Raw genomic sequence first — 26903 nt, 5'->3', positions numbered from 1 at the left:
ACTGGACAGTCAGCATCTACAGTAGCTTTGGGCTCTGTTCCTTTGGGATGGTTCCTCCTAGCCCTGGGCTATCCCAACAGGGAACACATCCAAGGAGCTTCCAGGATAGGAGGAACTTTGACCTAGGAGCTTTGTTATGGCTTTGATCATCTGGTTTGATCTTATAAATGACACATAGATGATCTTCCTGTTTTCCCATGAGGTGAACCTAACTCTGGAGTCTGGAGGAAAAGTGGCCAGCCGGGTGTGGAGAACAGGTGAGAGTGGAGGCTGCTTGGACCTGGAAAGTGGGGAGACCACAGAGATCTCCAACTCAGGATCTCAGACACACAGCCACATGCCTGTTGCATCCAGCACAGAGCGTGGCCCAGGAAAGCACAAGTTATAGCTGTGGTATCAAGTCAGAGGACCTAGGAAGCTCTGGGTGGCACCAGGAAGCGGGTGCTCATTCTCGGGAGAAGACCTAGAGTGACCTAGGGAAGCCTTCTGAGAGGACAGACAGATCCTGGTAACCGCTGGTGGGGCCTCAAGGACAGGCACTTTCATCCCCAGGCTGCCCTGCTGCTATTTCTGGGTGACAGTGATGTCCCAGGGATGTGACTACCAAAGGAGAGAAGAATGGAGGAAGAAAGAGGTACCTGGTGGGGGTGCCAGGGTCTCTGCCACTTCCCAGGATGGAAGGGCAGTCATGATATCTGGTGGTACAGAGCTTAGTTGGGCAGGGGCTCTGTCAGTGGGCGGGCTTTTTTCTCAAACTAACCAATTCTCCACCTCTCCAGACACCAACTGCATCTCCTACAATTTGATTCAATTATGACACTAACTACCTGGAGTTGGCATGGATCCCCACAGTTACAGGCTCAATCCCACACGACTGCCCCACTTCAGATGCCAATCACACGTCCGAGCCTCCTACACTTCTCACCAACCGAATATAAATTGGGAGTTCCCACAACTCCCCTTCTCAGGTTCGATGATTTGCTATATCAGCTCCCAGAACCACTTTCTGTTATGAGTGTAGGATAAGAAATACAATGCAGGAACAGCCAAATGAAGACATGCACAGGGCAGGCGATTGCGGGGTGGGGTGGGTGGAGCCTCCATGCCCTCTCCAGGCGCCCCACCTTGCGAGCGCCTCCATGTGTTCACCAACCGGGAGGTTCCCTAAATCCCAACATTTAGGGGTTTTTATGTAGGTTCCACTGTGAAGGTGCGAGAGATTAAATCATTGGCCACTAGCTTGATCACTAGCTCCTTTCCCCTTCTCAGAGGTCAGGGGTGGGGCTGAAAGCTTCAACCCTCTAATCCTGCACAGAGCACGGCCCAGCCCCTTCTTGAAGCTGTCTAGGGGCCCCAGCCACAGGTCATCTCATTAATACACAAAAGACACTCTTATCACTCCAGAGATTCCAAGGGTTTTAGGAGCTGTTTGTCAGGAAACAGGTGAAGACCAAATATATATTTCTTATTATCACAGTCGGGAACTTCAACTAAGCAGTATTAGGCCATACCATTCCTTTGTTCAGAAAAGCTGCACCAGTCGAGCTATTTTCTTCTGCCTTTTATTTTAAAGGGGGATTTGGAATACAGTATTCTAATAAGAATCTCCCGATGACATATATTGTATCAGATCGATCGTATATCTTTTCCAATCTACTTGCTGGCAGGAAGCATGTGTCGAATGAACATTGAGGAGTCAGTTCATTACACATCGCAAAATTATATTTGTCTATTTCTAGATCCAGAGACCAGACGTGGATATGAGCAGATGACAGAATAAAAGCTGGGAGTTGTATATTAAAGGAGTAATGTTTGCTTTTAACCAACAGTGGTTCTCTGTTTCCTTCAGAATCCTGCTCATCTCCCCTCCAGAAGAGGACAGAATTCACTCCTTTTAAATTGAAAAAGTCTGCTCCAAAAACTCCTGTGCCAAGGACTTGGAAGACTGGCTTAAAGTCTGAGTTCTACCAGTTCCTCCTCCCTTGTGATCTTGGCCCTCCTTCGGACGCAGTTTCTACATTTATCAACTGAGCACATTTCAGTGGACAGTGGTTTCAAGCAAATGAGATAATTCCTGCACAATTACTGTGTAAGGTTTGACACAACCCTGTGGATAAGAACGCAGGCAGAAGAGCTGAGACCACATCCAGGTTCCTCACTTGCTAGTCCATGGAACTGGGTAACAGTCTGATTCCTCTCCATCTGTAAATTATGCACCACATATATCCATGCTTCATGAGATCATGTCCAAGACATCTTTGTAAGGTTAAAATTGCAATGGACATATGAATATCGATTACACTGTTCAATAATTTCCCTAGAGCCCTTTGGGTCTGTGCATCGACATGGTGAGGGTGAACGATTCCACAGTTCTGCCTCTTTCAGGACTGGAAGAAGGCACCTAAATCTTGGCCCTCTGGCCCACACGGAGTCTTCCACTCAGTCATTCAGCAAGTACCGTTTTTATTGTGCAAAGAGCAGTGGTGTTCAAGGCACTGCATTAAGCCCACAGATACCTGCAACAGACAAATAGAGATCTCCCCTCCTCATTATCAGGCCGAGCTGATGAGCAGGTGATCCTGACAGTGAACGCTGGAGAAGACAGTGGGAGAGAGAGACCCTTCAGAGCTGGAGTCAGGCCAAAGGAAACAAGGCCAGATGTAGATGGTATTCCCTCTGATGACACATCCAGGGACAAGGAATAATTGTCACAGAGGTAGATTTTGAAGAGTGGCAGAGAATTATCGAAGAGCTGGGACTGTCTAAATGCAGAAAATATTGCTTTGTAAACTAAACAGTTGTATGTCCCTAGAAATATACCAAGCAAGGCCTGGGTAAGCAGCAGGGTATGGCTTTATCATAAGGATTCTCGCTGTGACTACAGGGTTAAAATAAATGACCCACACCTTTCAAGAGTGTGTGATTCTATCAACTTCAGCGACTTCTTGGCATAGGTGTACCTAGAGATTTCACAGTTAACCTCACACTCTGTATTCTAAAACTGAACTTAATTTTTTTTCTCCCCAAACCATTTGGCAACCTCAAGTCCGTGTTCTCCTTAGCAGAACCTCCCTTCTTTTCAGTCTTGAGGTTCAAAACTCCCAATTTCCTTTCACTAAGATTTTCTGGACACATCTCTTGTATATTAGGTACCATACCAAGAACGGCCCTCATGCTCAAAATAGAGCAGGACAGTCCAATACAGGATTCATTTAAACTGTGAACGAAGAAACAATCTTAAAATGCATCTCAACAGAGAGACAGATGGGAGACACAAAACTCCTGTGCATAAGTCTCAGCAGAACAAACCCCACTCACACAGCCCCAGCCCCAGTGGTCAGGTCCTCCTGCTGATGCCCTTCTTGATGTCTGTCTTTTCTTACCCTTTTTGCCCGAATTTATTACCTTATTGCCCCAAACACGGGTCACTACGATATCATCCAACAGAAAGAATTTTGAGCTGGTGGTAGGGACTGAATCGTGTCCACCCAAAATTCATATGTTGAAGTCCTAACCCCCAATGTGAAAGTATTTGGAAATGAGGCCTTTAGGAGACAATAAGGCTTATATGAGGTCATGAATGAGGGTGGAGCTTCCATGATAGGATGAAAAGAAGACATACCAGACAGCTCGCTTCCCTGCTCCCTCTGCCACGTGAGGACATAGGAAGAAGGTGGCTGTCCGCAAGCCAGGAAGAGAGCCCTAACCAGGAATCGAATCAGCTGGCCCCTTGATATTGAACTTCCCAGCCTCTGAAGAGTGAGAAGATAAATATTTGTTGTTTAAACCACCCAGTCTATAGTATTTTGTTAGGGGAGCCTGAGCTGACGAACACAACTGGTCCACAGCACCTAACCAGAAGGATATTTTTAATTCATGAAATGGGTTGCTCTAAACAAGATAATTTAACCAGGTCAACAGCAGTGAAATCTCCTTTCCTCTTCATGGACTCCAAGAGAGGAACAACCCAGTAACAAACAATCACGGCCTTGCATGAACCAAGCCCCTCCTTCCCTTAGCCCTACCCGCTCCCATGCAGCAGCCTTGGGACACAGGGGCAATTGAGAGACTGTGTTTTGCTATGGATTCTGGTGGCAGCCTGGGGCCGCTGTGATGGCTGCTATATCTATCCTATTAAGTTGATACCCTAAAACTCAGCTCTACTCCCCCAGCTGTGCTCAAAACAAGAAATACAGGGACCAACAGGACCATGGTGTGGTTAAGAAGCTACCAGCAATCCACATTTATCTCAACAAGCAGCGAAGATCTCAAGAATCTTCTACTTTGGTCACAGAAGGAGCTAGGCAACCAATCACATTTCTCTCTTTTCTCTTGTATCCATGCATCCAATAAATGATATTCTCCTCTTTTTTAAGTGTCCAGTTCTAAAGAGTACTTAATTCAATTGAGCATTTTGCTGCTTCACTGAAATGGCAATCTTCATTGAAGAGAGTGAAAAAGAAACGTATCCTATAGAGTTTCTTTTCTTTTCTTTTCTTTTCTTTTCGAGACAGTCTTCCTCTGTTGCCCATGCTGGAGTGCAGTGACGAGACCATAGCTCACTGCAGCCTTGAACTCCTGAGCTCAAGCGATCCTTCTACCTCAGCCCCCTCACTCTGCACAGTAGTTGGGACCACAGGTGTGAACCACCATGCCCAGCTAATTTTTAAAAGATTTGTTATCACAGACAAGGTCTCACTATGTTGCCCAGGCTGGTCTCGAGCACCTGGGCTTAAGTGATCCTCCTGCCTTGGCCTCCCAAAGTGTTGGGATTATAGGCATGAGCTACTATGCCTGGCCCCCTTCCTATAGATTTTCAAAACAAACAAACAAACAACAAAAAAAAAACACTCCAAAACAGGTGGAGGGTGAGGGGAGGGAAATTAGAAAATGGGTCAATAGGTGCAGCAAACCATCATGGCACACACATATGTATGTAACAAACCTGCACATTCTGCACATGTATCCCATTTTTTTGGAAAAAATAAAAACAAAACAAAACAAAACAAATGATCAAAAAAGATTGTAATATTTACACATTCAGATATTTCTATCTTTAACCTCTGGGTTGAACATTCAGTCTGCTAAAGTTTCTCCCAATATTTTTATTGATTTAGGTTTATATTTAAATTTTTAAGTAAATTGGAATTTTAGTATATGATATTTCTTTTGTCTCAGAAGGATAGCCACTAGTTTCATTATTATTTTTAAATAAATTATCCTTTCTTCACTCAAAAAAACAAAAACAAAAACAAAAAATGACCACCATTTTGGAGCCATACTTGCAGAAACAGTAAGTCTTCTGTATATTTCAGAAGTCAAAGACTGCACAACACTCTAGGATCCTCCAAAGGGTATTCTTGTTGTGAGCTACTCGGAGATATGTTTGAGTCTCTGCTCATCTTTCTTGACAGAAACAAGGCTACTGTGAGCAGCTCTTCGATAAAACAAAAACCAGTGTGCCAAGACTTGGCCACAGGTGGGCAGATATGGCCTATTATCCCAAGTTTGCACAAGCATGTTCATGATATAGTTTTATTTTAGTAATTCGTTTGTTGACTATCTCATGTGTTCCTTCAACTTCAACCCCTTTTGCTACAAAAAAAGGATTTATTTTGCACAAGGAACTGGATAAAATTCACGTCAGATTCTTAAAAGCAGCCATAGATATAGGCAGCCCCACTTTACTGTCTTCAAAACAAAGATTCCGGGTTTCAATTCCTGCCGGAAGCCTGAACTGGTAAGACAAATTAGAAATCCATTCTCTGTTTACCTATTTTTTTTTTTTGAGGGCTGTTTTGGAAGAAAACAGTATAAACTGTTTTGTCAACAAACCAAAGAAAAATTATGACTCAGACCACTGAAAGGGAAAGGTTCCAGGCAATAGTGAAGCAGTAAGAATACAACCACTTTGACTTTCACCCACAGGTACATTTTTTATTTGATGATTACAGACAAAAGAATGCCATAATAAAACCAAGTGGGACATGGGCAATACCACTGCCATGGCTGGACTGTGAGGCACTCAGAGAGAGGCAACATCTGACTGGAAGAGCAGCCCGTGGAAGGAGGGACCTGACTTTGCCACTTTATCATCCTGCCAAAGTGGGCCAGCCTCCGAACATCTTGGATGAGGACATCTTCCCAATAAAAGTGGGAATGAAATGTCACAAAATAAAACCTCATGGGAGTGGTGTGCAAACCAGATGAAGTCTGAAACCTGTGACACAAAAGTACCTTGCCAACGAGGCATAGACATCTATTGTACTGCCTGTCCTGTCCTCGTCTCCCTTCTGGGGACAACCCAGAGAACCCTGCCTGAGGAATGTTCCCTCTCTCACCCACAGTCCTTGCGGCCCAGGTAAGTCTGACCCCATGAGGGTTCCTGGGGTGTATACATGCCCAGATCTGGTCAGTCATAGCACGGTGTTCCCTGGCAACAGGGCCTGGTTCAGGAATATCATGCAGGGCTATTCTACCTAAGACCCCTGCTGGAGTTTTCATTGGTAAGATGCAACTGGGCCACCACTTGGGTAGAACCTGCCTGAGAATAAAACCAACACAAGGTGGGGAAAGCTAAGGGACCACGAGGAAGAGAAACAGTGCCTTAAGTAACTGCTAGCACTCTTGGATCTTTACTTGAAGCCAAACGCTTGCCTGGATATCCCAGTTTTATGAAAAATTCCTTTATGGATTGTCTAAGAGTTAGTTTGAACTGGGCTGTCTGTCTTTGGAGCTGAAAGAATCTTGACCAATATAGTATGACTCTCTCTCTCTCTCTCTCTCTCTGCCTCTTTCTCCCTCTCTTTCACACACACACACAAAATATCATCAAAAGCTTCACTGACCACACTACAAATTCTAGCATATTTGCAGAAAGATCTCACTACTCATAATGGATGGGAATTAGCAAACTCACTTACTAATATGGATCTTAGCAAATCAAATTCATCATATCTTTTAATAACAATATTAAAAGAACCATGCAGTGTTACTATGTGCCTTTTATTCAGGAAGATACATATAGCTCAACCTTGGGAAATCTATCAATAGTTCAAATAAGTATATATATATACACATGCTTATCTCAGTAGACACTGAAAAAATACATTAGACATAACTGATTATGTGACTCATAATCACATAGTGAGCGTTCCCAGTGTAAGCAACATGTTCCTAGGGTTAGGAATTCCTGTGTGTTTCCACACTAACTCCTTAATGCTGCCACTGCACAGATCCATTGAGCATCAGTCCTCAACTCTTTGTGGAAATGATCCTCAGGTCTAGGATGATGGTGACGTTGACCCGCTGATGGTAACAGCTAATGTTTACTGGGCACAGACGCCATTAGGTGCTGCACGAAACACATTTCATGTGTCCCCTCATGTACACACAACTGCTTTATGAGGTGGATATCATTATTATTATTATTCTCATTTTACAAGACATCAAAGCAAAGAGGCTAAGAACCTGCCTGAAGTCACACAGCTAAGTGACAGAGCTGAAATATGCAAACCAACATACATTTGATTTAAAAGCAAATGTTTTTAACTACATAATATAAAGTATGATACGTAAGTTAGGAACACGTTTTCTTTTTAAAATTTTTATTCTGTTATAAATTACAAGACCAAAAAGGCTAAGAAACACACTTACGCAAAAAGTGATAATCATGGTTAACTTTTTGGTATATGTAAATCCAGACTCTTCTCCTTACATATATAAATACAAGTAAGTGTAGAAATATTTAATATGAATAATATCACATGTTGGTGGTTGTATACTCTATATGCCTTAATTATTACTCTAGAAATATTATTATACTTACTTAGTAAAAGTTTAATAGTTCTAAACTACACAGCTTTACCTCTGATCACCTCACAAAGTACATGTTGTTATTATTGATAGCCGAAGCATGTTTATCTTTATTCTTGTGCCCATTATTTCCTTTGCTCACTGCATCTGAGAACTTCCATTTGCGGTCACTTACTTAAATCTTCCAGAAGTACACCTTCAGAAGTTCCTTTAGTGAGGTCTCAAATCCTCTCAAATTTTTATCTAAAAATGTTTTATCTCCTCATTCTTAAAAGATAAATTGTCTAAGTATAGAATTCTAGGTTTACAATTATTTTCAACTAGCATATTAAAATATTGTATTGTCGTCTGGCATGCATGATCACTGTTTAGAAGTCATTCATCAATCTAATTGCTGCTCCTGTATAGGTGATATGTCTGCTGTTTGTTACTGCTTCTAAGTTTTTCTCTTTGTTATTTTCTATTTTCCCTACATCTAGTTAAGGTTTGAATATCTCTTTATTTATCTCGCTTGGAATTTGTTGTTGCTCCTGAATCTGAGGCTCAATGACTTTCATCGATTCTGAAAAAGTATCAGCCTCTTCTCTTTGAATCTTAATACACCTAACTTCCCTGTTCTCCCTACCATCTCTACCTGAAACTCTAACTTACATAAGAAGGAGGAGGTCTCACCTCTCTGTCTCCCAGCCACTCTTTTATATTTTTGAACTCTGATTCTGTGCTGAATTCTCTGTAATTTCTTTCATTCTACTTTCTAAGTCATTAATTCTCTATTCATCTGTGTTGAGTAGCTATTTAATTCGTCCATGCTTTACTAATTCTGTTTATTTTTCAATGCTGTAATTTCCTGACACCCACTTGGACTAAAGGACTGCCAGCCAGCTGACTGCCTTCAACTGGACCCTGAAACCTGGTAATGAGTATCTCACTAGGAACCACAATTAAAAGAAGATCAGAGATTAGCTTCTAATTTTCCTGAGCTGCATAAGGCCCAAGGTGTCGTAAATACCCTAGGAAAAAGGTGCACCTTCCTCAAAACAAATGATGAGACTGAATGTTTAAACAGCCAAGCTGGAAGAAATAAGTTGGGTTTAATTTGATGGAGAAAATACAGCAATAAGATGGAGTTTGCACTCAGCTACCATCAGACAATTCATATAACCTATACAATGTCATTCGGTGCATTGTTTCAAAACTAGTGAACTATAGGTTAAAAATGACTTTCTTTGTACCATTAAGTACTTTTTAACATTTATTTTTATTGATTTTAATATTGTGATGACAGCTTTCCTTCCTTCCTTCTTTCTTTCCCTCCCTCCCTCCCTCCCTCCTTTCCTTCCTTTCTTTTCTTTCTATTTCAATAGCTTTAGGGGTACAACTGGTTTTTGGATACATGGATGAATTGTATAGTGAAGGCCGAAATTTTAGTGTACTTGTTGCCCAAGTAGTGTGCATTGTACTCAATATATAGTTTTTTAGCCGTCACTCCCTCCACCCTTCTGAGTCTCCAATGTCCATTATACTACCCTGTATGCCCCTGCACATCCATAGCTTAGCTCTCGCTTCTAAGTGAGAACATAAGGTATTTGGTTTTCCATTCCTGAGTTACTTCACTTAGAATAATGGCCTCCAGCTCCATCCAAGTTGCTCCAAAAGGCATTATTTTGTTATTTTTTATGGCTGAGTAGTATTCCATGGTGTATATATACCAAATTTTCTTTATCCACTCATCAGTTGACAGGTACTTAGGTTGGTTCCCTATCTTTGCAATTGTGAATTGTGCTGTAATAAACATGTGTGCATGTGCTGTTTTGACATAATGACTTCTTTTGCCTTTGGGTAGATACTCAGTAACTGCCAAACCTTTTGCAGTAGTCCCTTGTTATCTTTCACTTTCAGTTACCCAAGGTCCGTGCTTTCAGTTACCCAAGGTCAACCATCCCAGGAGTGATTACGTTCTTACCATCTCATCTCACTAACTCTTCTAAGGCAGGTAGTAAGCCACTTTTATTGGAATGAACATATGTACATATATATTCATTCTAATTCATTCATTCCAATATATATATTCATTCTAATAAAAATATATATTCACATATAATTCTTTTTATATGTCCATAATATATATTCATATGTTCATAATATATATATTCATATGTTCATAATATATATATTCATACAGATGCTCTCCACTTCTGATGGGGTTACATTTCAATAAACCCATCGTAAATTGAAAATATCTTCAGTCAAAAATGCATTTAATACACCTAACCTACCAAACACCCTAGCTTAGCCTACCTTAAACATGCTCAGAACACTTTCAGTATATATCCAATAAATTACATGAGACACTAAACACTTCATTATAAAATAGGCTTTGTGTCACATGATCTGGCCTGGCATCTTGGGAGAGTACTGTACCAAATATCAATAGTCCAGGAAAAGATCAAAATTCAGAATTTGAAGTACAGTTTCTACTGAATGCATATCACTTTGTAACCATCATAAAGTCAAAAATCTTAAGTGAAACCCTTGTAAGCTGGGGACCATCTGTATAGTCAATACATATATTCATATGTTCATAGGGTCTTTTTTTTAAACTAAAAAGAGGGGCTGATAGAAGAGGAGTTAAAAGACAGATCCAGAATGTGGGTTCTGGTGTGAGATGATAAAATGTGGAGAGAGGCTCAAAGACATACGTGGATGGCTGGTTGCATAGGGAGGTGCGGGTGCTGTGACCATTGGCAGCCTATCCTCCCATTGCCCCAGGCTCCCCAACTCAGACGGAGCCCACCACCATCTCCTCCAAGGCTCTTCAGGCTCCACCCCTTATCCTAAGACCCTCTGGTGAGAGCCTTACACTGCGTTCCAAAGCAAACTATGCCCTGCTGTTTAAGGCTGACCTGCTGCCAGGCACAGGAAAACCATTTGTGTTTATCTTCCAAATACCATGGAAATTCCCTAAGAACCGGCATGGTGTCTGTTCAGCTTTTTCTCCCGGGACTTTCCAGGACCCTGCCACATGAGAGGTGCTTTCATGCCAACCATTCACGTTATAGATAAGAAAACCAAAAGCCCAAAGAGAAAAGGTAGGGGTGTCCCAGGGCACCATGCCATGTCAATGCCAGGACTGGGCCACTGATTCCTCTTCCTACCCTCTCACGCTGCTGGATGCCTAGTTAACACCTCTGGTTCATTTCTCTTCAGCACAGTCCACTCATTAATTATCTTCCCTTCTCCCTCCAGATCACCCAGGGAAAGCCAGTGTGACAGTGGAAAGAAGGTACACTTGGGATCAGGCAAATCCGTGTGTTAGGATCAGCCTTTCAAGGCTCAGTTCGACCACCTTTATTTCCTCACCTGTGAAATGGGCGATTGAGCCCAGCCATCCTGAACCAGGTGAGTTAGCTGGCATTGGATAGTACTGGCTTAGTGCAGCCCCTGCCTCAGTGGACCTGAAGGGGATCTGGGCCAGCAGTACCAGCATCACTGGAACTTGTTAGAAATGCCGATCTCACCCCAGCCCACTCCCACCCCTGAACGACTGACTCCAAAACTGAGATGGGGCAGCACTTTGTGTTTTTACAAGCCCTCCTGGTGATCCCTGGGTCAAGTTTGCAAATCACTGAGGTACCTATTTGACCACGCCATCTAGTGGCAGACAGACCTAACAGATCCTGCGTTCTAGAAAATGGTTTGTTTCCAGTGCTGGAATATTCAGCTTGGAGGACTCCGAAAGACGCTCCCCTCAAGAAGCCTCTAAATGCATGAAGGCACAGACTCTGTCATTCTTTCCACCCAGTGTATTCCCAGCACCTAAGCACCGTGAGGAATGAAGGGCAGATATTTAATAAATATTTATTGAATGAATGAATGAGGACAAATGAATTAACTTGAAAAAAGGGGCACATGTCCTAACTCCTAGTCTGTCCATAAAGTGTTGTACAAAACTTGATTGTCTTGGGACTCAGCCTGAGGCCCAGCAGGGCCAGGTAAGGAGGTACAAGGAGCCAGCCAGCTACAGAGGTAAGTTTCAGATGTGCAGGCAGACCAGACACAGCATCCGTCCCACAGCACAGCAGCCTAGCCCCCGACCCAACAGAGGATCCATAGAGAGTGGTCAGATCCCATCTGGTCAGTCCAGAGCATGGGAGGGGCCAAGAGGAAGAACAGTCCTTGGACAGTGGGAACCTTACCCCACTCTGTCAGTGAGGACAAGGAAGGAGGAGTGGGTGATTAGGGCATTGCTGGTCTGCATTCAGCTGCAGAAGTCAGGACAGAAGAATGGTCCAGCAAATGGAGAGGGGTGGTGAGAAGACTGTCACAGCACAACAGGGACAGGAGGAAGCAGCCGGATCCAGGAGGTTCAGGGAAGGGACAAATCCAAGGTCACCACTGTCCTTCTTCCCAGGGCAGTGCAAGGTAGGGACAGCAGAGGCAGGGCCTAGAGGCTCTTCCCGCAGTGGAACTGGGAATGCCCAGAGCAGGGACAGCTTATGATCCTGCACACACCCAGCAGACTCAGAGTGCCAGGGAAGATGGGGCTTGCTGGTCCATGACAGACCCCCTCTCTTCAACAAGCACATCTGGTTTTTCCTCCCCAACTTTTCACTGCTGGGCTGGTAAGATGCCTTTCAATCCCAAACCCTGTGCCATGTTCCACACTACTAGGATGGTGCTGAGAGAAACAAGTAGTGCTTACAGAGCACCTACTGTGTGCCAGGTACCATCCCAAACATTGGTAAATATAACCATGCCACAATCAAATGAGATGAGTGCTGTGATCACCCCCCATTTTACATATAAGGCAACAGCAGGAACAAGAGAACAACCAGCCACCCACACACTACGGTCCCCTGGTCCACCAGGTCATGCAATGCCTTGTCCACCTCTGAATCCCAAGCACACAGAACAGCCCTAGTGCATGGCCAGTACCCAACGGAGGAGCCACCTCATTTCACAGCTGGGAAAATGGATGCATTCAATGTCTATACTGTCTCCTAGTGGATTGTGTTAACTACTGGGTAGACCAAACATTTCCACCTCATCCTGTTTCTTTGGGTCTTTAAAAAAAGGGAGGGGGTTGGGGAGAAGGAGGAAAAGAAGGAAGGAAAAAAGGAGCAGGAGAGGGTGAGGAGGGAAGGAGAAGAGAGAGAGAGAAAGAGGGAGGAAGGGAGGGGAGAAGGAGAAAAGAAAGGAGAAGGAAGAGAAGGAGGAGGGAGGAGAAGAAGCAGAGGGGGGATGGGAAGGAGAGGGAGAATTCTCAGAATGGAAAATTCGGCAAGTTTCTGCAGACAAATTATAACCTCCCGAATTTGGTTTTTAAGTCACTAAGTCAGGCAACAAAAGGTGATCTCTTTTTATGAAGCCACAGTAAAACGCAAATTTGTTTTCAAGTGAAACTTAAATCATAAATTAATTTCCTAAAATGAATGCAAATACACATCTAAACCTGGATATGCACCAGCAACCAAAAACGGGACAAATCACACACTAATTACTGTTTGAATGAAGATCCAATTGTTAATTGCAGTGTGTTTCAGGCATTCCATGTGAGCAACTTACCTGAAAAGCTTTTCAATTTGTATGTCAGGAAAGTTGGTAATTAAACACTTCAACTCCCTATTGACTTTTATTAGAGATATGATAATCTTTGCATAGTTTGCTTATAATTATTTTATTTGTTAAATGAAATTGATACTTAGTTTAGGAAAGTGTTAATGTTACAATTTTTTTTTAAAAAACCCCTGGGACCTGTACTCAACAGGAAGCATGTAAAGCTGCCTATACTCGCAAATGGTGTATAGGACCCAAAGATGAGGTCTGCCAAGCACATAAATGGCATCTTAAATGACTAATCGTCTTTCCTTAGTCTTGTCTATACACGACCTTGACTTCATCAACAGACTCACTTTTAAATGATTGTTAAAAGTAACCCTGTGATACAACTGCACTTTTGGGGTATTCTTGCCAAAAAAATTAAAATTTTAGAAAAGCGCAACTCCAATGCAATTGTGAGGCAACATCAGACAAAACCAAATTGAGAGATATTTTGCAAAATAACTGGCCTATACTTGGCAAAAATGTTAAGGTAATGAAAGAAAAAAACAAACAAACAAACAAAAAAAACTGAGAAATTAGTCCAGAATTAAAGGACACTAAAGAGACATCAGAACTTAATGTAACTTATAATCCTAGGTTAAACCCTGAACTTGAAAAATCATTTTTTTTGTTATGAGGAACAATTGGTGAAAATTGAATAAGGTCTGTGGATTAGATAATGCTATTACATTAATGCCAACTTCCTGATTTTTGTCATAAATTGTAGTTACGTGGGAAAAGTCCTTATTCTTAGGAAATAATATACCTTGAAGCATTTAGAGTTAGAAGGCACATTGTGTATGCCACTCATTCTCAAGTGGCACAGTGAGAGAGAGAGAGAGACAGAGAAAAAAAAAACTGATAAAGCCAACATGGTAAAATAGCAACACAATGGGGGAATCTGGGGGACAAGTATACAAGTGCTTTCTGTATTATTCCTGCAACTTGTCTGTAAACTTGAAATAAGTTCAACATAAAACATTACCAAAAACACAAAACCTTGTGATGGACACATCTCTTTTCATTTGTTTGGGATCTGGAGGATGTGGAGACCAATTCATTCAGTCATTCATTCATTATTTAACAAATATTTTTTAAGCACCAAGTGTGTGCCAGACCTTACTGAAGGTGTTGGGGACACAGCAGTGGAGAGTGGGCAGGGGGAAGGCAAAGTTCTGACTCCAGGGGGAAATGAAGCAACTTGGAGGTTTCTGGCAAATCCCCATCTCCCTTGGAGGTCTTGAGCTCAAGGTGCCTTAAACTCAACCAAACGCCTGATCTTCCCCCAACCCCCACCAAAAAGCCCAAAATATCTGGATCTCGTCCAGTATTTTCTAGCTGGGGATATGATAGCCTATCCACCCAGTGGTCAAATCAGGAACACTACCACTCCCTCTCTCTCATCTCTGATATCTGGTCCATCACTTACTCTCTTGGTTCAATTGTTTCTCCTCCTAAGTATCTGAAAGATCCATTTATTGCTGTCCACATCCAATGTTACGTGGACCGGGCCTCCACGTCCCTCACGTGGACTTCCGAAATGGCCTCCGGGCAGGCCTCCCTCCTCACCAGCCTGCTGCCAATAAGAATGTCCTTCATTCCGCAGCCAGAGAGCTTTTCAGAACCCACCTCTGATCACATCACGCCCCCACTCACCACACTTCAATGGCCTCCTGTTGCATTTGGAAACAAAGACTCCTTTCTTTCACAATACTTATTATTTAATAAATGGCCGACTCTCCTGCCACACAGGAAAGCTCTGTGAAAGCGGAAACCACGCCTGGGTTTGCACACTACTGTGAGCACACGGTTGGCATTCAATTAATATTTGTTTAATTAGGTGGATAAGCAATTAAAATAATTAATGTCTGGCTTGGGCCAATGAATGGATAGTGGTGCCACTTGCTGCCACAGGGGACATAGCAGGAGGAGGAAATATGTGGGAGCGGTGGGCTTTGCAGAATCTGTGGGACACCACAGACCCAGCAAGCAGCTGGGAATAAGGCCTGCAGTTTGTGACACTGACTAGGAAAAGGCACACACTGGTCCTGAAATGTGTTGAATACCGGAACAGTCTTCAGCATCTTTCCTTGCCTGCAGGAAAGAAATGGAGGGGGTCTACATTCTCCTCTGTTCACCAATGGTTGGTCAGTCATTTGCATAAATTTGCATAAGTGTCCAGTGCTGCCTGTGTTAGAGACTGATGGAACACACACGTAGCCAACCTGTTTTATGCCACATCTTTCCAACCCACCCCCACCACACCACCACCACCAGCACTGAGCACAGCACCCTTTGTGCAGGGAATAGAAGTGTTCAGGGAGGCTGGCTGAACTGAATTGGAAGTTTTCTGGCGTGAAATATTTTCAAAAAAAAAAAAAAGAGAGAGAGAACACAGCTGTGATCCTTGATCACATTCATTCATTTTATTCTTTGGGGGACTTGGAATCCATCAAGCATATCAAATTATGGCAAACGATTCCAGACTATGCCTCATTTCAAACTGCTGATGGGATAGAAACATCAATGCTGTTCTAAAAATAATAATAAAATAACTTTTTGCAGTTCTGTTATTTCACATTTAAATTAACTTCCATCACGGATTTCATAATTATCTCAAAAGCATCATCTTGCTTTTAAAGCTGTCACATTTTCTTGACATGTTTTAAAGGGGCCAGCCCTTTATTATCTGGGGGCCACATGTCCTTGTGAAACTCCTGGGGTTTTCTTCTAGTTGCCACTGTCCAGAGGCCTACAGAGTTTTGTTCCCATAGACCAGAGTTTCTCAACCTTGGCACTATTGACATTTGAGGCTGGATAAGCTCTTTGCTGTGGGGGCTGCCCTGTGCACAGTAGGATGTTTAGCAGCATCCTTGGCCTCTACCCGTAGATGCCAGTAGCACCCCTACTCCCTGGAGGTGTGGCAACCAAGAATGTTTCCAGACATTGCAAATGCCCCCAGTTGAGAAGCACTGTGTGGATACACGTTTGGCCTCTGTGCCCAGGTTTCTCACATGTCCTGCCACCCAACTTAGAGGTCTATTGAAGATAAGAAAGACAATACTATTTTGTGTGGCTATTAATTTAAAAATTGGTGCACCAATTAACTTTGGCTTCCTGTTCCTCTAAGTCTGGAACTCAGCTCATCTACTGACCTCTATAAAGGGCAACTGTGTAACTTTCCTGGCCTCCCTTCAGTGATTTAATAATTTCAGTGGCTTTTTTAACTGCTGTTAGGGTAATTGGGTGGTCCAGGCCAAAACAGGCAGGAAGTTGCCTTACTCAACAGGCAGAGTATATGGAAGGCCACCCTCCTCTCCTTTGGCCCCACCTCCCTCGCTCAGCCACCAGTAAGGCCTTCAGCTAATTTGTCTCTTGGAAGGCCTGGCTCTACCCGAAGAGCTGGGTTTCCACTCAGGCCAACTCCTCTGGTGCTCCCACCCTGGACATTGCACCCCTGAATCTTCCCAGGCTGTCCTACCTCAGAGTCTTTCCTTTTGCCACCTAAGCCTGGATAGAGAGATGCCTAGTTCCACCTGCAGCTGCTCTCCACTTTTTTAGAGTTGTTGGAAGAAAAGTAGGGATGGCCAAATCAGAAACAAACACATTTATCCTCAGTTACTAACAACTCCTGAATGTGCATTTGAAACAGGAATAACCACCATGGCCTGCCTAATGGTATCACAGGCAGGCAGGCAGGACCAGAAATCACCTGGCCGCATGCTCTCTAAGCCCTGGGACCACCCTGTCAGCCAGGTGGTCTGGTTGGAAGTGTGTAGGTCAATCCTAGGAGGATGTGTGGACAATAGACGGTGAGCAAAGGTTTCTGGGTAAGTTAGTGGCACCAGCGTTTGAGAAAGGCCATATGGAAGAGGTGAATTGGTAAGGGAGGGGGTGGAGGGAGAACAATGGGGCCTCAGATGAGAACCCAGGTTGGCATGGAGAGCCCAGTCATGGGGCCCCTGCAGCGGCCCACTGAGGCCATCAGAGGCTCTCTGCCTGTTGAGTAAGGCAACTTCCTGCCTGTTTTGACCTGGACCAATTACCCTAACAGCAGTTAATTAAAAAGCCACTGAAATTATTAAATCACTGAAAGGAGGCCAGGAAAGGTACACAGTTGCCCTTTATAGACATCAGTAGATGATCTGAGTTCCAGACTTACAGGCAACAGGGCCTGGCCTGGGTTGCCGGAACCTGCCAAGGATAGGGGGCACAGCGTCTGGGTGTAAGACCTACTCATCCACCTACCTGCTGGGGACTCCAGATAAATCTCTGAGCCTCTCTCTGAGCCTCTGTTCTAACCTTTGTGGACAGCAGTATAAAAGTATATAAATCCATTTGACTGTTCAATTCTACTTCAAAGAATTGACAATAAGGAAAAAATCATGTATTCATATATTCATTCATATACGGGGATGTTCAATACAATGGTGTGTACAATTCTGGCAAACAGAAAAGCACACCAAATATTATATGCCCAGATATAAGAATGTGAGTTAATGAATTATGACACAGCCATAAACAGAATATATGCAGCTTCTCAAATCAGTATCCTTGATAGGATATACCATTAATGAAGGGAAAAAAGGGATGACAAAGCAATATGCTCGAAATAATTCTATTTTGTTATATATATATATATACACACACACACAATATTTAGAAAAAAGTCTGTAAGGATATACGCAAAAATGTTAGTTATGGGTGGCAGAATTATCTTAGTGTTTTTGTGCATTTTCCAAATTTTTTACAATCAACACAGATCTTTATTGTGGGGGAAAAGTGGTTGTGGTGAAGAAAGCAACCAACTCCTCAGCAGGGGCTAGGAGAAGAGCTCCAACCTCTGCTTTGTATGTTCTCACAATGAAACCAAAACAGTAAGAGATGTCCCATGTTTTCATACAATGTACAAAAGCAGGAAGTACCTATTTGTAAACATTTTGGCATTTTTGTAGATTTCCCTGAAAAAAATGGTCAAATTGTTATAGACTTGGCAGCCACAGAGTCTCTGCTTATCTGCAAAGAGCCTCAGCTTCCAACTCTAAAGCCTGCACTATTCAATCAGAGGGCAATGAATGCATCTTTTGACCTTGTTGCTGCCTTCCTGAATGCTGTTGGGGTGGCTGAATCTCAAAGCCAGCCTGGAGTCTGTCTTATCAGTAACTGCTGGTAATTAAGCAAGCCATGTCAATAGTTTCACACACAACACAGAAGGCAGTAAATGGGAGGATCCCACTTCCCTTCTGAGAAGACCCTGTGGGACTGTAACACGGAACCTACCACTACCACCAGCCAGTCTCCAAGCTATCACCTACCCTTCTTCTGGGAAGAATGATGAGCTTTGTGTGTCCAAGGTATCAGGTAGGTGTAGGACCTCCTCACCCACCCACCTGCTGAGGACTCGAGGTAAGTCTCTGAGCCTCTCTAAGCCTCTGGTGTAACCTTTGTGGACAGCAGTATAAAATAAAAATATATAAATACATTCGACTGTTCAATTCTGACCTAATCTTCTTCTGGGAAGAATGATGAGCTTTGTGTGTCCAAGGCTCCTTATTAGAAAGTCTAGAGGAACTAGTTTGCATAGGGATTATCTTGGTAGGATTTTCAGATCAAAATCAGTTTCCACAAATAAAAGTCAGAATCTCAATTAGACAGCTCTGGACTATTTTGTTACAGAGACCCACAAATATAGGATATATGCTTTCTTTCCTTCAAGGGAGTCATTGAAAGGCAGCCACATACAAAATAAAAGACAGTTCCCTGGCATCCCTCCATTTATTCATTAACAAAACCCTACTGGGTATCTATTGTATGGGAAGCAATATGGTAGGTGCCAGGGCTGCCATACTGTTGGATACATTCCCTGCCCTCACAGGGCTTCCAGTCAGGTATCAATCAAATAACTGCACAATTTACATGAGGCGAAGTGCTCCAGAAGCAAAGTACAGCTTTATGGGGCCCTGGAAGAATGCATGATAGGTACATTTTACCTGGATAAAGGGATCAGGATAGATTTCCCTAATGGAGTAAGAATTCAAGCTGAGACCAGAAGAAAAGTAGGAATTGGACAGGAAAATGGTTAGGAGTGAGGAGGGGGTAAGGGTAGGGAAGGAGGGACAGTGAGCAATTAATCATTCCAAGAAGAGGGACACAACATAAACAAGAGCCCTCAATTGGAAAGGAGCTTGGCTAAAACTGAGAAATAACTTTTCTTCATTGAACAAAGAGTTTCGTGTGGTGAGCTAGTCCAACAGCCTGACCTGCCCCACAAAAGGAGGGAAAGAGAAAGAGAGAGAGAGAGAGAGATGGTAGACAGATGATAGGTAGGTAGATAGATGATAGATAGATAGATAGATAGATAGATAGATAGATAGATAGATAGATAGATAGATAAAAATGAATGGATTGCTGGATCTGGAAAAGATGCAGAAATAATCTCCCTATGACCTTGTGTCTTAGTGAATCTCAATAAAGACAGACAATAAAGCAGTAAATGCAAGCATTGTTTGGGAACTATGGTACTTGGACCAAAAGCTCTATGTTCTGTGAACTAACTTACCCCAAGGAAAGCATTTAGAGAACCTGGTAAATGGCTGGCCAACATCCCTCTTTGTTTCCTTCTCCAGCCCAGATCTCTGGGAGCATGTGTCCCACTGCCTCCATGACAGTTCCACTTGCTTGTCGCACAAGCAGCTCAACTCAGCTGTCCAATACTGAAGCCTGGAGCACACCCCACAGGCCCCCTGCCTCTCACTAACTTCCTGTCACCTCCAACCACCCAGGTGTTGGACAGAAAGCTGGGAATCGTCCTTGACTCTTCCCCTAACTCCTTACAATGAAGTCATGATGATTCTGCCCCAAGCAGGACATGTCGTGCCCAAGGGATGGACAGGGAAGTAACTGGTGCCCCTGGAGTTGTTCAGCATGGCATCCCTGCCCCCAGTATAACTCAAATCCACCTCCCTCTCTCTCATTCTCTACTGACAGCCCCTGACCTAAGTTAGCACCATCTAACTGGAGTCTTACTTTTCCTCCCGCTTCAGTCCAATTGGCTCTCCACACAGCAGCCAGAAGCAGCATTTAAAAGTGCAGGTCAGATCATGCCCCTTGCTCAAACCCCCTTCAGTAGATTTCCAGCGCTTTTTAAAAATGAAGTCTCAGTCCCTAACCCAAAAGTGGTCCCCCGTGAGCTGGCCTCTACCGCAGCTCCAGCTTCTCACACCGCTTTCACCCTTGCTCCCTGTTCTCCAGCTCTTCCCAACTCAGGGCCTTTGAAGGGGCTCTTCCTTGTGCCTGGAATGCTCTTCCTCACATTTCTCATCATTCCTTGGAGCTTGACTCAAGGGTCAACTCCTCAGAGAGGCTTTCACTGACTTCAAATGGCCTTTGCTAATCCTCTAATTTAGGTCCCTTGGTTATTTTATCTCAGGGGATCATTTCTTCATAACATTTACACTTTTCATAACTAACCCAATTGTGTTACTCTTTTGTGACTATTTGTCTTGCTAGCAAGCAGCATGATGGTAGGAGTTATACCTAATTTGCTCACCACAGTGATCCCAGAACCAAGATCAGTCCCCGGCACATAGTAGTTACTCAGTAAGTATTAGCCCCTAGCAGCTTCATTCGTCATAATTGCCAAAACTTAGAAGCAACCCAGATGTCCTTCAGTAGGTGAATGAATAAATAAACTGTGGTACATCCAGACAATGGAATATTCTTCGGCACCAAAACAAATGAGCTATCAAGCCACTGAAAGATACAGAGAAAATGTAAATGCATATTATTAAGTGAAAAATGCCAGTTTGAAAAGGCTACGTAATGCATGAATCCAATTACATGACTTTCTGGAAAAGGCAAAACTATGGAGACAGTAAAAACATCAGTGGATGCCAAGAATTCGGAAGTGGGAGGAATGAATAGGTGGAGCATGGAGAATTTTTAGGGCAGTGAAAATACTCTGCATGATATTATAACGGTAGATATAAGTCATATACATTTGTCCAACCCATAGAACGTCTACCAACCATCAAGAGTGAATCCTAATGTGAACTATGGACTTTGGGTGATAATGATGTGTCATTGTAGGTTCATCAATTGTAACACATGTACTACTCTGCTGGGGAATGTTGATCATGGGGGAGGTTGTGCATGTGTGGGGGCAGGGGATATATGAGGAATCTCTGTGCCTTCCTTTCAATTTTGCTGTGAACCTAAAACTGCCCTAAAAAAGGAGCCTTTAAAAATTAACTTTTTAAAATTCATTAATTAATTAAAATAAATATATACTGAAGGAATAAATAAATCTCTTTTTTCAGGTATCACTTCTTCCTTTTTTTCTTTCTTTTGATGAAAGCCAAAATGCCATCAGCTCATTTTTTTCTTATAAGTCCATAAAAGAATGATGTGTCCTGCAACTGATGGGCTCGTAGATTCAATGAAGGACAGGATATAGAGAAATTGGGCTCAACTGTATGTCCAGCTGGTTTGGCTGTTCCAGCCCTACTCAAGGCAGGACAGCTTGCAAGCATAGCGCACACGTCTCAAAGGCTCAAAACCTACCCACATTCTTGGGTGTCCTGCTGAGTCCCCAAGAGCACTGAGGAAGCAACCACTTGACAGTATTCCATATTTTCACAAATCTTGTCTGCCTCACACGCCAGCCATCAGCGCAAAATGACCATTCCTAAATTCTCTATAAGTCAAAATCTCTGTCTTCAAAAGGCCCACGTTCAGAAGTTACCTCCCATAAGACTTCCTCTGGCTCCCCATGATGATATGAACATGCCTAGTCAACGTTCATTTCATTCCACCTGGTGTTATTAAGTTAGTCTACCTATGCCTCCCCTAGTAGACTTAGAACCCCCTGAGGTCAAGAAATATTCTCCCTCATCTCCACATTGCTCTATTCCCTGCAGACAGCTTGGCATATCAAAGATATCCAATCAGTTCAACAAGCTGATTCAAATGTCCCTCCATCTAAGGCAATTTGTCCAGAGAATCTTCCTGCACTATACAATTAATTCCAAATTGAAATGCCAAAGACCAGAAACCTGGAAGTGGGGAAAAAATCCAATAATTGATTTCAGAAAAAAAAGTGGAATTCCAAATCTCTTAAAACATAATTTTGAAATCCTTTAAAACATATGAGCCTTATTAATTACTCTGCAAATACTCATCTCAGAGAATGTCCACATAATGCTTAATTCCTAATGATTACTGGTCTGAATTTGTAGCTGATTCCCTCATGCTTAAATTACAAAAGATTAAGATGGAACAATGACATTGGGGAAACAATCTCCTTCTTAATTGTGCCATTTCAGCTGCAAATACCCTTTTATGTATATAACTAATTCAAATCTTCACTATTTCCTATACATCAGAAACACTTAAATGTCATTCAAAAAGGCAGCAAAACAACACACACACACACACACACAGACACACAAAACGGAAGATTCTATGACTTCACTCTCTAGTCTAAAGGATATATGTCATTCCTGGCCAGAGAGAAAAGAGAAAATCAGCCAATACAACAGTTTCAGTGACCAACGTAAGGACTGTAAATGACCCAGAAGGAGGAGGCACCAGGGGCCACAGGATATGAGGAATATAACCAGGACTGTCATAGCAGAAGTCATGAGGAGAATATCTGGGAGCCCAATCCTTTCTTCTCCTCTCCCAGAGTAGCTGGTAGAATCCTAACCTAAAACCCCAACAGGGGACCTTGAAGGAGCAGATTCCAAATTTGGACCTGTATTATATCCACAGAGTAACATGAGTAACATGAGCGTGAAGACCCCAACATCACCGGTCACCAACAAGACCCTAGAGAATCCCCACTACACATCACAGAAGAGTGTCATTGTAAATGGTTCTGCTGTTGTGAAGTGGTCAGCTGGGAAAAAAGGAACAAGTGGGGGCGTGGGGAGGTGACTGGCTGTGGCCTTTGTACCCTGGACACGAACTAGCAGCAGAAATAAATCCTGGTGCTTCCCCATCCATTTGGTTCTGTTTACCAAGCTCTTATTCTTTGCAAAGCAACCATATCTGGGGAAAGGAGGCAGGAAGAAAAAGGAATTCAAAGAAGTCTCACAAGCCCATGTGAGGTAGGCTCTGGGTGACAAGCTTGGGTACCATGGCTCTTTTTGTTGTAAATTGCCCATAGAATCTGAACTCTCTCTCTTTGGCTCAAACCCTGAGCCATGTCCCTTAAAATTAAACCCTTTCTCCCAAAGAAAAAGATGGAGATTCACATGGGGCAATAATAACACATCCCCACGGATCATCCTCAGGGGACCAGTAAAAGAAATGATGGTAAAAGGAAAGGTGATCACCTCAAGGAATTTTCCCTTGAGAAATTATCACCATGCTGAAGATCTCTGGTATAGCTGTCAACAGAGAAAAGCATCTGTCAAGCTGGCCAGGTGTTGACTAGCAACGCCAACAATACCCTATGCTTGTACCATTCAAGTCTCCCGCAGTCCAAGGCACAGGCACAGGCTTTCCTGTGCTTCACACCACGGGGCCAGGGGCAGTTACTCCATCTTTAGATCTTTAGTCCATGTAGCTCATGGAGCAATGTAATGGACAAAAAAGTTTTAAACAATGATGTCCTGGCATAGAAATTATGTAAATCACCAGGGATTTTATTCCTGTTCCCAGTGTATATTGGACTAAAATGTTTTCATTTAACATCTTTTGCTTTTTCTAATTTCATAACATTTACATCTATCAATTTTCCATTGATTTTGAAGTAGTTGAATGGGTTGAAATTGCAGCTTCAGTCACAGGCAAACTGGCACAGATTTGTTTTCAGACCAGCCACGTTCCTCCTCAGTGTTCTGGACAGAGGCCTCCTTGTCTGTTCTTCCAAGAGTCCCTATTTCTGCTGATGGAACTGCCTTCCTTGGAATTACACAGGCTCTTCACCTTGGTGTCTCCATGGACACCTCCCCTTTGTCTCTCCTTGGCCTCCTCCTTTACTCTTACTCCAAATCTAATCAGTGCCAAATCTGGAACTCTTCTACCCGCCCAGTGGTGCATTCCTTCCTCTCTGGTCCAGCCATGGCCACCAATTCTGGCCTCCCCAGCACCTGCCTCATTTCATGCTGGCCTCCCTGTCTCAAGTCTTGTTCCCTCCTTAGAATGTTTCCTAGACATAGCTGACAAATCAGTCTTCCAGAAAAAGTGATCATGCGATTTCCTTGTTCAATACCATTGAGGTCTCTCTCTCTCTCTCTCTGTCTCTCTCTCTCTTTTCTATTTTATTTTATTTTTCTGGTTCTTAGGAAGTGTGCAGAGGACTCTCCCTTAATGTGGAGAGAGAAAGTCCATACTCCTCAGTCTGTCCTTTAAAGCCTGGTCACATCCAAACAACTCAGTGTTAAATCCCACTGCTGCCTCTTATATCCCCAGTGCACCAACTACTCACTGACCTCTGCACTTGCTTAGAGCAAGTCCACTGTTACTTACGCCTGCAATGCCCCTCTGCTACTGGCTCTGTATATTCAAACATTCCCGTTTTCAAGGTTCAGCCGAAATGTCCAATCTCCAGAAGCCTTCCCTGGCCGCCTTAGATGAAAGGGATCTTTCATTCCTAATTCTATGATGAGAGACACTTTTCTTTGCTAGGCATTGCTGTTCCTCCCCCGACCCTCCCTATCTCCAACACATGACCTCCCTCTGCTGGGAATTTCCTGGGGGCCGCCCTCTGTGACTCTCCCTGCATCTTCCACAGGGACCCAGCAACCTGCCGTGCCCACAGCAGCCTCTGCACAACACCCAAAAGTTTGTACTAGCTTAGATGTTCACGTTTCTCTTCTCCCACACCCTGCTCATCAGGTAGGGAACTTTCCCAGTGAAAACGGAACTTCCCTACTACAATACCAAAACAAGTCAATGTTGCCACTTGATCAAGAACTCTTCCATTTTTGAAATATTTCCTAATGAGCTCAGTTGTCACAGACTGCACCCTGGGGACAGGTCAGACCAGAAAGCAGAGGATGTCACCTGGGCAGGACCAGGGCTGCTCCACGCTGGTGACCACAGGCTGGGTGTTTTGTGCCCCCGGAGGGTTAGGACACACAGCAGCCAGTCGCAAAGGGCGCAAAGGACCAGCGCTTAGTGGGCGGGGCGGGCAGGGGAGAGTCCCGGGAGTTGTACCCTGTTGAATCCCAGCTCCAAACTTTTCCCTCCGTCAGCGCGGAGCCCTCCACCAGCCAGGACTGGCTGACGCCGTGATGCCACAAAAGCCGGGACCGGAAGAGAAAAATGCGTGGGATGGGGAAGGCAAAGGCGGTTATTTTCAGAACTTCGGGGGCTCCCGGGCCTGCCCTTCGGGTTCCCGAGGATGCGAGGCCAGCGTCCGGCCGCCCGCGGGTCCGGACCGGCGCCTGCCCGGGACCGGATGGGCAGCGATTGGGATGCAGATGCCGCTCTGGTGCTGATGCTGCGGCTGCCGCGTAGTGACAGCCGCTCCACCACCCACCGCGCCGAGCTGCGGCTCCGCGCCCCCGGGGGCGCCCGGCGCGCCTGGTCCGCTCCGGCCCCGGGCAAGGCCTGCGGGCTGCGGCGGGCGGCGGGGCCCAGGCCGCTACTCACCCGGAGGGTTGACCGCCGCCGGGGTTGCCATCTTGCTCGGAGAGGATAGGCGCCCGCTTGGCAGGGGCGCGGGAGGGGCGGCGCGGAGCCCGGCGCTCAGCCCCGGGGACCCGGTCAGGCCCAGGCGCCGCCGCCGCCACACAAAGGACGGCGCGGGCGGGCGGCGCTCCCTCCGCTCTCCCCGCCGCCGCGGCCGCTCGCCGTCCCCGCCTTTCTCTCCTCCTCCTCCCCCTCCTCGGCCTCCTCCTCCCGGTTCAGCCTTTGTCGCGCGGCGGGGGGCGCCCGGCCCGCGGCTCCCCGGTCAGAGCGGTAGCACCGCGAGACTTGGGGCTGCGGACGGCGGGACCCCCAAGTTGGGCGCCGGCGACTGGCGGGGGCAGAGGGCCGGGCGCTCCCTCGGGCTCGCGCAGGTGCTCGGGCCTGGCCGGGCTGGGACCGCAGGCGCCTCTCCCGCGCTCGCCTAGCCCGGGCTGCCCCCGCACGCCCACGCCCCAGGTGTCCGGGCGCGCTTTACCCAGGGGCGCCGTGCCCAGGCCAGGAGGCCAGGGCGGAGCGGGTGAGGGAGAAGCCCATTTAGATTCAGAGGGAAGCCGGTCCTGGGAGACGGCCGCGAGGAACAAAGGCGCCCCAGTGCTGCCCACTTAGCATGCCAGAGCCGCGCTGCTCGGCTCCCAGGCCGGGGACACGGCCCGGTGTTAAGCGGAGGGTGCCCGACCGCGGGAATTCCTAAGGCCACGCGCACCTCCAAGGCCACCGCCGCACACAGCTTCGGAGTGCACAGTGCACACGCCCAGGCACAGGCAGCCGGCCCGAGAAATTGTGAATGTCTTGGCTTTGAGTAAGGCGCTCATCTCTACCCTCCTTCCATAATGACTGCCGTTGAT

General features: G+C 44.8%; 1 protein-coding gene and 1 long non-coding RNA gene across 5 annotated transcripts in view, besides 1 other annotated feature; one reads left to right on the top strand and one right to left on the bottom strand.

The window, feature by feature from the left end:
- The window catches only part of ARNT2 (aryl hydrocarbon receptor nuclear translocator 2), a 193552-nt gene extending 167368 nt beyond the window's left edge, over window positions 1–26184 (bottom strand). Inside the window, exon 1 of the mRNA NM_014862.4 lies at window positions 26020–26184. Within this exon, the coding sequence (NP_055677.3) occupies window positions 26020–26050 (31 nt within the window). The 5' untranslated portion in view covers window positions 26051–26184. The remainder of the gene's footprint in view (window positions 1–26019) is intronic.
- Window positions 26253–26753: an enhancer, noted in NCBI's record as "H3K4me1 hESC enhancer chr15:80696155-80696655 (GRCh37/hg19 assembly coordinates)". NCBI's record gives its function as "activates a minimal SCP1, AML or CMV promoter by ChIP-STARR-seq in naive H9 embryonic stem cells {active_cell/tissue: H9 hESC(naive)}" and the evidence as "EXISTENCE:reporter gene assay evidence [ECO:0000049][PMID:30033119]".
- Window positions 26370–26903, top strand: part of ARNT2-DT (ARNT2 divergent transcript) — a 59344-nt gene continuing 58810 nt past the window's right edge. For 2 of the 4 annotated variants that reach the window (NR_184068.1, NR_184070.1), the window contains exon 1: window positions 26370–26575. This is a non-coding gene — a long non-coding RNA (ARNT2 divergent transcript). Of the gene's footprint in view, window positions 26858–26903 lie in introns of all 4 variants that reach the window. The other 2 variants (NR_184067.1, NR_184069.1) reach the window with 1 other exon arrangement.

The sequence above is a fragment of the Homo sapiens genome, chromosome 15, assembly GCF_000001405.40.
Source record: "Homo sapiens chromosome 15, GRCh38.p14 Primary Assembly".
Taxonomy (NCBI): Eukaryota; Metazoa; Chordata; class Mammalia; order Primates; family Hominidae; genus Homo; species Homo sapiens.
This window is presented reverse-complemented; position numbering and strand designations above follow the sequence as displayed.